Genomic DNA, 15,939 nt, shown 5'->3' on the forward strand with positions numbered 1-15,939 from the left:
ACACAGACAAATTTCCACAGAGCTGCCGTAACATTGAGCAAATAGTTAAACCTAGAGAAATTGGTGCCCAGACATCAAGGAAATGAAACATATGGTCAGTAGGAGCCTTGCATGAGCTTTTCCCTAACCTGGAGCAAGTCAAAATAATAGGGACAGCCTTACATTCCTAGTGCCAGGACCTGTCTTGGATGCTGAGATGAGTCAAGGTAACAGAGACAGCTGTTTGAATAGATTTATTGAAGAGTCTAAGGCAGCTCTCCAGACCAAGCTGTGAAGGAAATGAGATAGAAATAATCACTCTGATACCACAGTAGACAGGCCTTGAAGATACTGGGGCCCTCACAGCTTAATCGGACTTAGCAAGCATTCTTTTTTTTTTTTTTTTTTTTGCCTCTGATCTTCTAGTTGAAACAAAATTAATTACCAATAGACTTAGACAAGTGCTATACTGCATGTAGACACATAACCCCAATCTATATAAGAAAATTGTAACACTTTGAGTTGGTCTGATGGAATTATCTCCATTCTTCTCCCTGTATCCTGTAACAGCAATAAATTCCCTTCTTATCTAGTTTGTCTGCTTCTCGTTATTGGGCCACAAGAAAAAGCAGCCGAACCTGGCTTATTTCCGGGAACATTTCCTTACACCCATAGTTGCTGAGGTGAGAGGAGAGAATTGGAGGTGAACATCTGACCCCACCACTAGTCTGGGAGTTTTCATGGGAAGCCCCATTCTGGTCCCTTCCCATAGGAACTATTGGGAGTGCCAGGAGGACCAGACCACCTGGGGTGAATTGAGATGTTGACTGCAGTGACTGGCACATGAATCATGGTGTCTACTCAGTGCTCCAAACAGTGAGGGTACCGCACTGAAGAGATTGGCTGGTATCATAGCGCCACAGGGGGCACAATCTGTGGGAAGGCCCAAATTCCTAGCCAGGTTTTTCACAAAGCCCAGGTGCTCACATGGAGCCCTCCTCTGGCCTGGAAACAACTAAAAGATCAGGATTAAGTTGCAGTGCCTGTTTATGTCTTTCTCAGACTGGGAAACAATTTAGTTCTAGAGCAGTGTTTAAGTTCCAATGTTCTCTATAAATCTTCCCCTAATTAGAAAACAATGCCAGGAAAAAAAGTTAGTTCTAGCGCAGTGTTTTAATTCTAGTGCTCACTATAAGTCCCCCCAAGAACCAGAAGCAACAACAAGCCATATTTAAGTTTTGATACTAAGAAGCGAAACCCTAACATCACCAAAGAACAACTAGAAAAGCTGGAAGATGTATCTATCTCCTCAAATGCACAGACATAAAAGTGAATCAATAATCAAGAACAAAAACCGTATGATCATGTTAATAGATGCCAAAAAAAGCATTTGTTAAAATTCACATCTTTTCATGATGAAAACTTACACAAACTGGGTGTAGAAGGAATATGCCTCAAAACAATAAAGGTTATATATGACAAACCCACAGCTAATATCATACTGATGGGAAAAAACAGAAAGCCTTTCCTTTAATATCTGAAATAAGGAAAGGATGCCCACTTTCATCACTTTTATTCAACATAGTACTGGAAGTCCTAGCCAGACAAATTAGGCAAGAAAAAGATAAACAAATAAAGGGCATCCAAATTGGAAAGGAGAAAGTCAAGTTATCCTAGTTTGCAGGTGACATAATCTTATACCTAGAAAAATCTAAAGATTCCATCAAAAAACTGTTAAAACTGATAAATGAATTCAGTAAGTTTGCAGGACACAAAATTAACATACAAAAATCAATAGCATTTTTATACATCAACAACAAACAATCTGAGAAAGAAAGCGATCACATTCACAGTAGCTGCAAAATATTATAAAATAATTGAAATAAGTTTAACCAAAGAAGTAAAAGATCTCTAAAGTGAAAACTATAAAACATGGATTTAAAAAGTTGAAAAGGACACCAGAAAATGCAAAGACATCCCATTTCCATGGTTTGGAAGAATTAATATTAATAACATGTCCATACTACCCAAAGTGATCTACAGATTCAATGCAATGCCTATCAAAATACCAGTGACATTCTACATAGAAATAGAAAAGATAATCTTAAGATAAGTGTGAAGCCACAAAGGACCCTGAATAGTCAAAGCATTGCTGAGCAAAAAGAATAAAGCTGGGGGCACCATACTACCTGACTTCAAAATATACTACAAAACTATAGTAACCATTATAGCATGATACTGGCATAAAAGCAGACACATAAACCAATGGAACAGAATAGAAAACCCTAAAATAAATCCACATATTTACAGTCAATTCATTTTTGGCAAATGTGGCAAAAACATACACTAAGGAAAGAATATCCTCTTCAATAAATAGTGCTGGGGAAACTAGATATCCATAAGCAGAAGAGTAGATCTAGACCCTTATCTCTCACCATATACAAAAACCAAATCAAATGAATTAAAAACTTAAATATAAGGCCTAAAACTATAAAACTACTGAAAAAAACATTGGATAAGTGCTTCAGAATATTGATCTGGGCAAAGACATTTTGGGTAAGACCTCAAAAGCACAGGCAACAAAAGCAAAAATAGACAAATGAGATTACCTAAAGCTAAAAAGCTTCTGCATAGAAAAGGAAACATTAAGAGTGAAGAGACCACCTACAAAATAGGAGAAAATATTTGCAAACTACCTATCCGACAAGGGGTAACCAGAATACATAAGAAATTCAAACAACTCAATAGCAAAAAAAAAATTTGATTTTAAAATGGGCAATGATCTGAATAGAAATTATTTAGAAGACATACAAATAGACAACAGGTATGTAAAAAAAGCTCAGTCACTAATCATCAAGGAAATGTAAACCAAAACTATAATGTGTCGACAAAAAGAGTCAAACTCTGTAAAATACTTGAAGAGGTTTATCCTGAGCCAAATATGAGTAATCATGGTCCATGACACAGCCCACATGAGGTCCTGAAAACATGCAGCCAAGGTGGTCAGGGTACAGCTTGGTTTTATATATTTTAGGGAGGTATGAGACATCAATCAGATACATTTAAGAAATGCATCAGTTTGGTTCAGAAAGGCAGGACAACTCAAAGCGGGGGCTTCCGGGCTTTAGAAAAATTTAAACATTTTCTGGTTGACAATCGGTTGAGTTTGTCTAAGACCTGGGATCAATAGAAAGGAAATGTTCAGGTTAAGATAAAAGATTGTGGAGACCACAATCTTTTGATGTTCTTTTGAAGTCTTATAGTGGCTGCCCTTAGAGACAATAGATGATAAATGTTTCCTATTCAGGTCTTTAAAAGGTGCTACACTTTTAGATAATCTCTTCAGGATTGAGAGGGCCTGGAAGAAAAAGATCTAGCTATGTTAGTAGAGATTCTTTACAAATGCAGATTTTCCCCCACAAAGGACACTTTGCAGGGCCATTTCAAGATATGGCAGAGAAACATGTTGTGATGGTTAATACTGAGTGTCAACATGATTGGATTGAAGGATGCAAAGTATTGATGTTGGGTGTGTCTGTGAGGGTGTTGCCAAAGAAGATTAACATTTGAGTCATATGTAACAAACCTGCATGTTGTGCACATGTACCCTAGAACTTACAGTATAAAAAACAACAACAACAACAACATTTGAGTCGGTGGGCTGGGGAAGGCAGATCCACCCTTAATCTGGTGGGCACCATCTAACCAGTTGCCAGTGAATATAAAGCAGGCAGAAAAACATGAAAAGACGAGACTGGCCTAGGCTCCTAGCCTACATCTTTCTCCTGTGCTGGATGCTTCCTGCCCTTGAACATCAGACTCCAAGTTCTTCAGTTTTGAGACTCAGACTGGCGCTCCTTGCTGCTCAAGCTTGCAGACAACCTATTGTGGGACCTTGTGATCATGTAAGTTAATACTTAATAAACTCCCCTTTATATATAAACATCTATCCTGTTCGTTCTGTCCCTCTAGGGAACCCTGACTAATACAGATTTTGGTACCAGGAGTGGTTCTAGAGGAAGAGAATATTAAGGATGGAATTCTTTTATTGGTTTTGGGGTTTCTGGAGTTAGCTGCTTAATATGATTAGACCCCAAAATGCTAAGGACTGCACTTCTAATAGTATGGAAAATACTGATAGTCTTTGGCATTAACTGTTTAGAGACTTATGCAAAATAAATGCACTCGACACTCCTGATTCACCGCTCATGAGAGGCAAGGAGCTTAGTGACTCTATATATAATACCTTTGACTGTATGTGGAGAGCCAAGGAACATGATGAAGCTGTTAGTTGCTCCTAAGTTCAGTGGATAAAGTGATGAAAGAAAATTATGAACTCAAGGATTCTGTCTCTCAGCTTCAGAAGCAGATACTGAGCCTCAAATCTACTAAGATTGCTTTGAGTGAGAGTCTTATCTCCTGTAGAAAAAGAGGTGAAATTGTGAAAAAACAGACACAGACTTTTATCATGCGAGTGGCTGAACTGCCACAAAAGGGGCATGCACAGCCTTACCAGGTGTCTACTGTTAAAGTGAGGGCATTGGCTGGAATGGGACCCTGCAACTTGGAATGAGGACGTGTGGGAGGACCCTGATGAAGCTGGGGACACTGAGTTTGTAAACGCTGATGAACCATTTTTGCCAGAAGATACAGCTTTCTCATCCCCAGTAGTGGCAACATCCCCTCCCCAACCCATGCTGCTATCAGCCTTTCCACCTTTGTCTGAGGAGATAAACCCTGTGCTGTCTGAGGCAACACTGATGGCCCCCCATGAGGCAGTTGCCAGTCAAAATAATGTTGATTCTCCTCAGGAGCCACCCCTAACACTCCTATCTGCTTCTAGACCTGTAACTAGACTAAAGTCCCAGTGGGCCCCTAGAGGTGAGGTTCAGAGTGCGACCCATGAGGAGGTATGCTACACTTGAAAAGAACTGCTTGAGTTCTCTAATTTATATAAACGGCAGCCTGGAGGGAATGGGAACGGATATTAAGGGTATGGGATAATGGTGGAAGGAACATAGAGCTGGATCAGGCTGAATTTATTGATTTGGGCCCACTAAGTAGAGACTGTGCATTTAACATTGCAGCTCAGGGAGTTAAAAAGGGTTCTAATAGTTTATTTACTTGGTTAGCTGAAATACAGTTTAAAAGATGGCCCACTGCAAGCAAGCTGGAAATGCCTGATCTCCCTTGGTTTAATGTAGAGGAAGGGATCCAAAAGCTTAGGGAGATTGGGATGGTGCAGTGGATTCATCACTTTAGACCTACTCATCCCAGCTTGGAGGGTCCAGAAGATATACCCTTGACCAATGTCTTGCAAAATAGATTTGTAATGGCAGCATCTGCATCTTTGAAGAGCCCTGTACTTGCTCTTCTCTGCATGTCAGGTCTAACAGTGGGAACCACAGTCACTCAACTACAAAATTTAAATACAGTGGGAATGATTGGATCCTGAGGTGGCAGAGGCCAAGTCATTACATTACTGACAATTTATGCAGTGAATCTTTCTCCTATCTTTCCCCAAGGAGACCTCCAGCCTTCTACCAGGGTAACTGTACACTGGGAAAGGGAAATGATCAGGCATTTTGGGGACTACTGGACACAGGGTCTGAGCTGATGTTGATTCCAGGAGACCCAAAACGTCACTGTGGTCCTCTAGTTAAAGTAGGGGCTTATGGAGGTGAGGTAATTAATGGAGTTTTAGCTCAGGTCCCACTTACAATGGGTCCCCGGACTCATCCTACGGTCATTTCCTTAGTGCCAAAATGTGTAATTGGCATAGACATACTTAGCAGCTGGGAGAACACCACATTGGCTCCCTGACTGGTAGGGTGAGGACTATTATGGTGGGAAAGGCCAAATGGAAGCCATTAGAGCTGCCTCTACCTAGAAAAATAGTAAATAAACAACAATATCATATTCCTGGAGGGATTACAGAGATTAGTGCCACCTTCAAGGAATGGAAAGATGCAGGGGTGAGGATTCCCAACACATCCCCATTCAACTCTCTCATTTGGCCTGTGCAGAAGACAGATGGATCTTGAAGAATGACAGTGGATTATCGTAAGCTTAACCAAGTGGTGAGTCCAATTGCAGCTGCTGTACCAGATGTGGTTTTATTGCTTGAGCAAATTAACACATCTCCTGATACCTGGTATGCAGCCATTGACTTGGCAAATGCCTTTTTCTCCATTCCTGTCCATAAGGCCCAACAGAAGCAATTTGCCTTCAGCTGGCAAGGCCAGCAATATACCTTTACTGTCCTACCTCAGGGGTATATCAGCTCTCTGGCTTTGTGTCATAATCTTATTCGAAGAGACCTTGATGGCTTTTTGCTTCTGCAAAATATCACACTGCTGGTCCATTATGTTGATGACATTATGCTGATTGGATCCAGTGAGCAAGAAGTAGCAAATGCACTGGACTTATTGGTGAGACATTTGCATGCCAGAGGATGGGAAATAAATCTGACTAAAATTCAGGGAACTTCTACCTCAGTAAAATTTCTAGGGGTCCAGTGGTGTGCAGCCTGTCAAGATAGTCCTTCTAAGGTGAAGGATAAGTTGCTTCATTTGGCCCCTCCTGCAACCAAGAAAGAAGCACGATGCCTAGTGGGCCTATTTGGATTTTGGAGGCAGCACATTCCTCATTTGGGTGTGTTACTCCAGCCCATTTGTTGAGTGACCCCAAATGCTGCCAGTTTAGAGCAGAATAGGAGAAGGCCCTGCAACATGTCCAGGCTGCTGTGCAAGCTGCTCTGCCACTTGGGCCATATGACCCAGCAGATCTAATGGTGCTTGAGGTGTCAGTGGTAGATAGGGATGCTGTTTGGAACCTTTGACAGGTCCCATATGTTAATCACAGTGGAGGCCTCTAGGATTTTGGAGCAAGGCCCTGCCATCTTCTGCAGATAACTACTCTTCTTTTGAGAGACAGCTCTTGGCCTGTTACTGGGCTTTGGAGGAAACTGAAAGTTTGACTATGGGTCATCAACTCACCATGTGATCTGAACTGCCTATCATGAACTAGGTGTTTTCTGACCATCTAGCCATAAAGTGGGTCATGCACAGCAGCATTGCATCATCAAGTGGAAGTGGTATATGCGTGATCAGGCTCAAGAAGGTCCTGAAGGCACAAGTAAGTTACATGAGGAAGTGGCTCAAATGCCCATGGTCTCCACTCCTGCCACCCTGCCTTCTCTCCCCCAGCCTGCACCAATGGCCTCATGGGGGGTTCTCTATGATCAGTTGACAGAAGAAGAGAAGATTAGGGCCTAGTTCACAGATGGTTCTACATGATATGTTGGCACCACTTGGAAGTGGACAACTGCAGAACTACACCCCGTTTCTAGGACATCTCTGAAGGACAGCAGTGAAGGGAAATCTTCCCAGTGGGCAGAACTTCAAGCAGTGCACCTGGTCGTGCACTTTGCGTGGAAGGAGAAATGTCCAGATGTGTGATTATATATTATTTCATGGGCTGTAGCCAATGTTTTGGCTGGATTTGTCAGGGACTTGAAAGAAGCATGATTGTAAAATTGGTGACAAAGAAATTTGGGGAAGATGTATGTGGATGGACCCCTTTGAGTGATCAAAAGCTATGAAGATATTTGCATCTCATGGGAGTGCTTACCAATGTGTGGCCTCAGAAGATGAGGACTTTAATAATCAAGTGAATAAGATGACCCACTGTGGACACCACTCAGCCTCTTTCCCCAGCCACCCCTGTCATTGCCCAATGGCCTATGAACAAAGTGGCCATGGTGGCAGGGATGGAGGTTATGCATGGGCTCAGCAACATGGACATCCACTCACCAAGGTTCACCTAGCTACGGTCACTGCTGAGTGCCCAATTTGCTAGCAGCAGAGGCCAACACTGAGCCCTCGATATGGCACCATTCCTCGGGGTGATCAGCCAGCTACCTGGTGGCAGGTTGATTATATTGAACCTCTTCCATCATGGAAAGGGCAAAAGTTTGTCCTTACTGGGATAGACACTTACTCCCGATGTGGATTTGCCTATTCTGCATGCAATGCTTCTGCCAAGACTGCCATCTGTGGTCTCACAGAATGCCTTATTCACTGTCATGGTATTCCACACAGCATTGCCTTTGACCAAGGCAATCACTTTATGGCTAAAGCAGTGTGGCAGTGGGCTTATGCTCATGGATTTCACTGGTCTTACCATGTTCCCCATTATCCTTAAGCATCTTGATTGATAGAATGGTGGAATGTCCTTTTGAAGTCACAATTACAATGCCAACTAGGTGACAATACTTTGCAGGGCTGGGGCAAAGTTCTCCAGAAGGCCCTGTATGTTTGAATCAGCTTCCGATATATGGTACTGTTTCTCCCATAGCCAGGATTTACAGGTCCAGGATTCAAGGGGTGGAAGTGGAAGTGGCACCATTCACCATCACCTCTAGTGATTCACTAGCAAAATTTTTGCTTCCTGTTCCCATGACATTACATTCCGTTGGCCTAGAGGTCTTAGTTCCAGAGGTAGGAACACTGTCACCAGGACACATAACGACAATTCCATTAAACTGGAAGTTAAGATTGACACCCGGACACTTTGGGCTCCTCCTACCTTTAAGTCTATGAAGCCTAAGAAGGGAGTTACAGTGTTGGCTGGGGTGATTGACCCCGGCTATCAAGATGAAATCAGTCTACTACTCCACAATGGAGGTAAGGAAGGGTATGCATGGAATGCAGAAGATCCATTAGGGAGTCTCTTAGTATTACCATGCCCTGTGATTAAGGACAATGGAAAACCACAACAACCCAATTTAGGCAGGGCTACAAATGGCCCAGACCCCTCAGGAATGATGGTTTGGGTCACTCTGCCAGGGAAAAAAAATCACGACCTGCTGAGGTGCTTGCTGAAGGCAAAGAGAATACAGAATATGTAGTAGAAGGTCATCAATACCAGCTATGACCACGTGACCAGCTGCAGAAACAAGGACTGTAACTGTCATGAGTATTTCCTCCTTCTTTTGTTAAATGCATGTTTGTGCATGTATACACTATTACTAAGAAAATATCTTCATTTTATTTCCTTTATCATGTGACATAAGATTTATTGACTTCATATCAGCATGTAAGTATTGTTAACTTTATGTAATAGTATTTGGGTTGGAGATTGGTGCGTTTCCAATTGTATGAAGGATAGTTGTATTATGTTAGGCATAATTATAACCTTATTATTGTCTTTATTTGAAGATTATGTGTGTTCTCAGGAGATGCGTATGGATTCAAGTTGACAAGCGGTGGACTTGTGATGGTTGTTACTGAGTGTCAACTTGATTGGATTGAAGGATGCAAAGTATTGATCCTGGGTGTGTCTGTGAGGGTGTTGTCAAAGGACATTGACTTTTGGCGAGGGGCAGACCCACCCACCCTTAATCTGGTGGGCACAATCTAATCAGCAGGCAGAAAAATGTGACAAGGCGAGACTGGCCTAGGCTCCCAGCCTACATCTTTCTCCCGCGCTGGATGCTTCCTGCCCTCAAACATCAGACTCCAAGCTCTTCAGTTTTGAGACTCCGACTGGCTTTCCTTGCTGCTCAAGCTTGCAGATAGCCTATTGTGGGATCTTATGATCATGTAAGTTAATACTTAATAAACTCCCCTTTATATATATATATCAATCCTATTAGTTATGTCCCTCTAGGGAACCTTGACCAACACATGTTTTGGGGTAAAATATCTTTGTTTTCTTCCTTGTCTCATAATGTTATGCCAGAGTCAGATTGGAAAGTAAGTCACGATATATAGGGTTAAACAAAACTCATCTGATGATAATTTATGGTTTGTAGGGCATGACTCCCTAGACCCCTTAGATAGGAATTTAGGTAAGATAAAAAAAAATCAGAGCTTAGTCCTCAAATGAGATGTTACCTCTCCCCAGTTAATATAGCTATTATCAAAAAGAAAAATATATAGCAGATTCTGGTGAGGATGTGGAGAAAGGGGAATGTTCATACACTACTGGTAGGAATGTAAATTAGTATAGCCACTATAGAGAACAGTATGGAGATGCCTTAAAAAACTAAAAATAAAACTAACAAATGATCCAGCAATCCCACTGCTGGGTATATACCCAAAAGAAAGGAAATCAATATATCAAAGTGGTATCTGCACGCTTATGTTTATTGCAACACTATTTACAATAGCCCAGTTATAGAATTAACCTAAGTGCCCATCAATGTATTAACAAATAAAGACAATGTAATATATATAAACAATGGAATACTATTCAGCCATAAAAAAAACAATGAACTTCTGTCATTTGCAGCAACATGGATGGAACTGGAGGTCATTATGTGAAGTGAAATAAGTCAGTCACAGAAAGACAAATATTGTACATTTCATTCATATCCAGGAGCTCAAAAAGTTGATCCCATGGAGGTAGAAAGTAGAATGATGGTTACCAGAGACTGGGAAAGGGTGGGAAAGGAGGGGTAAGAAAGGCTAGTTAATGGGTAGAAAAAATACAGTTAAGTAGAAGGAATAATTTCTAGCATTCAATAGCATAGTAGGGTGACTATAGTTACCAATAATTTATTGTACATTTCAAAATAGCTAGAAGAAAAGACTTGGAATGTTCCCAACACAAAGAAATGATAAATGTTTGAGGTAGTGGATATCCTAGTTACCCTAATTTGATATTACACATTGTATGCATGTATCGAAGTATCCAGTGTATCTCATAAGTAGATACAATTATAATGTATTAATTAAAAAAGAAAGGAAAAAAAAAAAGACTGGGAACATCTTCCAGCCAAGATGGATAACACAGACCTGATTTACTTCCCCATCCAAAACCATAAAAAAACTAACAAAAAGCATTAAAACTTATTTTCAAGACACTGAACTTGAGGCCACGAAACACACTCATCATTGAGAGAGAGGAACCAAACAAGGTGAGCCCTACAATCACTCAGCTTGCTGTCTATAGAGATTTTAGGCAAAAGTAAAGGAAGAGTAAACTTAGAGTCTTCAGACTACCTGAGTTCAGGACATGAAACTGAGAGGTCAAAGAAGCTTGAGCCTTTAGGATAGAACATGTGAGATGAGAAAGCTGCATGGAGACATAACCTTAGAGATCTGCACAGGGCTCCTGTAATGGTCAATACCGAGTGTCAACTTGATTGGATTGAAGGATGTAAATGATTGATCCTGGGTGTGTCTGTGAGGGTGTTGCCAAAGGAGATTAACATTTGAGTCAGTGGGCTGGGACAGGCAGACCCACCCTTAATCTGGGTAGTAGTGGTCGATAATTAACTCCGGACTAAGCGCTTCTTCAGAGCTGTCTAACAAATCATAAAGTCAAGATCCAAAAGGATCAAAGTGGTTCCAAGTAGCTTAAACGTATCCTTGAACAACACTCAAGAAGATTTATAGGAATATACAAATATTCCTACAAGGTAAGCCAACAATGTAGAATTCAAAACATCTGAAATCCAATCAAAGATTACCAAGCATGTAAAAGAGCAGGAAAACACAAACCTTTATGAGGAGAACAATCAGTCAATGGAAACCGAACCAGAGCAATTACAAATTTCAGAATTAACAGAGAAACAGTTACCACAACTGAATTCTACACAGGCAAAAGAAAGGGTTGAGTTTTAGATGATTAAAAAAAAAATCAAACTTTTAGAAATAAAAACTACAGTGTGTGAAATTAAAAAAAATATACACTGGTTGCGATTAATGGCAGATTAGAAATTGCATAAGAAAAAAATAGTATACAATAAATGCAAGTAGCCCTGGAGTCTCTAAAGGGGAGAACTGGGGAAATTAAATTTTTTTGAAGATATAATGGCCAAAAGCTTTCAAAACTTGATGAAAAGTATACATTCACAGATACAAAAATCTCAGCAAGTCCCAAGAACAAAACATCAAGGTGTATCATGCTCCAAGTGAGAGGGGGAGAAAACAGTGATAGGGAAAACCTTAGAAGCAATCTTACAAAAAAAGACATTGTTATAGTCAGCGCCAGGCATGGTGGTTCATACCTGTAACCCCAGCACTTTGGGAGGCCCAGGCAGGTGGATCACTTGAGGTCAGGAGTTTGAGACCAGCCTGGCCAACATGGTGAAACCTCATCTATACTAAAAATATAAAAATTAGCAGGGCATAGTGGAGCATGCCTGTAGTCCCAGCTACTCTGGAGGCTGAGGTGGACAAATGGTTTGAGCCCAGGAGGCAGAGGTTGTAGTGAGCCGAGATCGTGCCACTGCACTCCAGCCTGGGCAACAGAGCAAGACTGTCTCAAGAAAAAAAGAAGGCTAGGCACGGTGGCTCATGCCTGTAATCCCAGCACTTTGGGAGGCCGAGGCAGGTGGATCATGGGGTTGGGAGTTCAAGACCAGCCTGGCCAAGATGGTGAAACCCCATCTCTACTAATAATACAAAAATTAGCTGGGCGTGGTGGTGCACGCCTGTAGTCCCAGCTACTTGGGAGGTTGAGGCAGGAGAATCGCTTGAATCCAGGAGGCAGAGGTTGCGGTGAGCCGAGATCGTACCATTGCACTCCAGCCTGGGCAACAAAAGTGAAACTCTGTCTAAAGAAAAAAAAAAAAGAAGAAGATACGTTATGATCAGAGAAACAAAGATAAACTTGACATTAGATTTTTCATCTGAAATAACATAAGAAAGAATACAGTGCAAAAGCATCATTAAAGTTCTGAAAGTATGAAAAATGAAATTCCTGCAGATTCTACACTTTGCAAAAATATCTTTCAAAAACTCAGGCAAAATAAACACAAAACAAAGAATTTATCACCAGCAAATCCACACTGCAAGATATGTGTTAAAAAGTTATACAGGCAGGAAGAAAATGGAAATCTGCATCTATACAAGGGAATAAAGAATGTTATAAATGTTAACTATGTATGATTTTTCTCATTATTTAAATTTATTTAAATATAATTGACCTAAAAATAGCAGTTATTGGCCAGGCACGGTGGCTCACACCTGTAATCCCAGCACTTTGGGAGGCTGAGGTGGGTGGATCACCTGAGGTCAGGAGTTTGAGACCATCCTGGCTAATATGGTGAAACCCCATTTCTACTAAAAATACAAAAATTAGCCTGAGCATGATGGCTGGTGCCTGTAATCCCAGCTACTTGGGACCCTGAGACAGGAGAATTGCTTGAACCCAGGAGGTGGAGGTTGCAGTGAGCCGAGAGCACGCCATTGCACTCCAGCCTGAGCAACAAGAGTGAAACTCCATCTCATAAAAAAAAATAAATAAAATAAATAATAATATCGGTTGAAAGTAGGCTGTGGTAAGTTACAGAGGTGTACTATAAATCCTAATGCAACCCTGAAGTAACAAAACAAAGAGGTATAGCTAAAAAGCCAACCAAGGAAATAAAATGAAATCATAAAAAATACTTGATATGTCCAAATGAAGGCCAAAAATACATCAAAAAACAGAACAAAGAATAGATGGGATAAACACAAAAACAGCAAGACATTAAACTCAGACTAACCATATCAATCATCTCATTAAATGTAAATGGTCTAAACACACCAATTAAAAGCCAGATATAGACTGGATTTAAAAAAAGAAGACTCAACTATACACTATCTACAAGAAATGTACATTATATGAAGACACAAAGAAATTAACAATAAAAGGATATGAAAACATACACCGTGCTGATGCTGGTCAAAAGAAAGCTGGAGTAGCTATATCAATATTAGACTATATAGATTTCAGAAGGAAGACTATTACCCAGGCTCAATAGAGTCATTTTCAAATGATAATGGGATCCATTAATCAACAGGACAGAACAATTCTAAACACTCAAGCCACTGAAAACATGGCTTCAAATTACGTGAAGCAAACATGGAAAGAACTGAAAGGGGAAATGGACAAATCCATAATTGTAGCCTGAGTTTTCAATATCTATTATCCATAACTGGTAAATCAGGAAGGCAGAAAATCAGCAAGAGTATTGAAGACGTGAACAACATTATCAATCAACCTCCCCGGACACTTAAAGAACACACAATGATAGCAGAGTACACATTCTTTTCAAGTGCACATGGAACATCCACCAGGATTTACCATATTTTCTGCCAAAACACAGGTCAAACAAGAAACCAAAAGGGAAGTTACAAAATATTTTGATCTGAATGACAACAAAAACAGCATAGCAAAACTTTTGGGATGCTGTTAAAGCAGTATTGAAGAGAAAACTGGTAAATACTGCACATCTGTATTAGCTGCAAAGCATATATCTGTGATGAAAGACTATTATCCAGAAAACTCAACAATAAAAATACAAATAATGCAATTTAAAAATAGGCAAAATATTTTAACAGACATTTCAAAAAAGAAGATGTTCGAATGGCAAACACATTTAAAAACATGCTCAAATATCATTAGTTTTTAGGGAGATGCAACCTAAAATCACAATGTGATACCAATGGACACCCATCAGAATGGCTAAAATTAAAATGACTAACTTTAATAAGTAATGGTAAGAATGTTGAGGAACTGAATTTCTCCTAGATTGCTGGTAGAATTGTAAATGGTAAACAATTTACATGGTTTGCATGTGAGTAAAGTTCCTCCCAGCAGGAGACTTTCCAGAGCTGGGGCACAGTGGGGACACCATTCAGAAGGGGATCAGGCTAGAGAACTACCAGAGGGAAAGGGAAATCAGAGAGGGCGATTGTGTGGATGACGTCACTCAGCAAAACAAAGTAGGCCCCCATGTTCCACAAGCCCTGCATTAGTGTGTGGACTGCTCCCACAGGGCCTGAAACCAAGACACATTGAATATCGGCCTTTAAATGAAAGTCTTATAATTGGCCTGGCTCCAGAAATCTGTCCAACTTGTCACTGTATACCCAAACAGTGAGTGTGAATGCAAGACACACAGAAAAGAACACATAAAATTGAACAGTGCAAAGCCTAAAAGGAAAATAGAATACAAAAGTCATGGCAGTGTGCAAAAGGGAGATGTGTATTGAGGGCACAATCTAGTCAAGAGAAGAGAGCATGGAAGTTGGATGAGGAAGGGATGTAAACGGAAAAAAGGGGAAAGGTAGCATTAGCTGGATGTGGTGGTGCACGCCTGTGGTCCCAGCTACTTGAAGGGCTGAGGTGGGAGGATCACCTGAGCACGGGGGTCGAGCCTGCGATGAGCTGTGTTCGCGCCACTGCAGTCCAACCTGGGTGGCAAAGTGAGACCCTGTCTCAAAAAAATAAAAGAAAAGAAAGAAGAAGGTGAAAGGTATAAAGAAGGGGGAAGTGATCACACTTTGTGTGGGCAGGGTCAAGGGTTTATCTTCCCAACCCTGCCTCCCACCTCATATTCCTCCTCTAACAGGCATCTGTTTCCTGTACCCAGGAGAGATCTCCGAAGGGACATTTAACATGACAGGTCAGACAGCTCAGCCCACATTCTCACAGAGAACATGGGGTTCCTGGAACAGCCTGAGCTGGGGAGGACGAGGGGAACACATGCATAGCAGCAGAGCCCGGAAGCTTGGCCAGCCGTTGTGACCGTGCCCTTTGACCCTGTGTGAGACAAACCTCAGGACCTGTTCAAGCCTCCAGTGAGGACGCCTCCTCAAAGACCACCTCGGCCAGAGTTGACTGGGGCAAGTCTCTTACCTAAAGAAGGTTTAAGAGGAGAGGGGAGTGTCAACAAGGAGGCAAAGCAGCCAAATGTGCAGAGGGCCTGGAAACTAGAACGGGGCTTAGCTCACATTGCTCTCCTCAAAGACAGCAAATGCATCAATTTGCTTTCCTGGGAGGACTGCATGAGAACATCCCCTTCCTGTACCTATGCCCCCACTATGTTCTATTTTTAATCTTATTTGTGTGGATTGGGTAGGCAAACTATGATAGCCCCTTGATTTAATTTATATTACATTTACATCTTTTTCTTATTAAACTGATGACCTCTTTATATATTAAAGATATCAATCCTTT

General features: G+C 41.1%; 1 annotated feature.

Moving 5' to 3' along the window:
• Positions 14,312–15,082: an enhancer, noted in NCBI's record as "OCT4-NANOG-H3K27ac-H3K4me1 hESC enhancer chr14:21046340-21047110 (GRCh37/hg19 assembly coordinates)". NCBI's record gives its function as "activates a minimal SCP1, AML or CMV promoter by ChIP-STARR-seq in naive H9 embryonic stem cells {active_cell/tissue: H9 hESC(naive)}" and the evidence as "EXISTENCE:reporter gene assay evidence [ECO:0000049][PMID:30033119]".

Source organism: Homo sapiens, chromosome 14 (genome assembly GCF_000001405.40).
Source record: "Homo sapiens chromosome 14, GRCh38.p14 Primary Assembly".
NCBI lineage: Eukaryota > Metazoa > Chordata > Mammalia > Primates > Hominidae > Homo > Homo sapiens.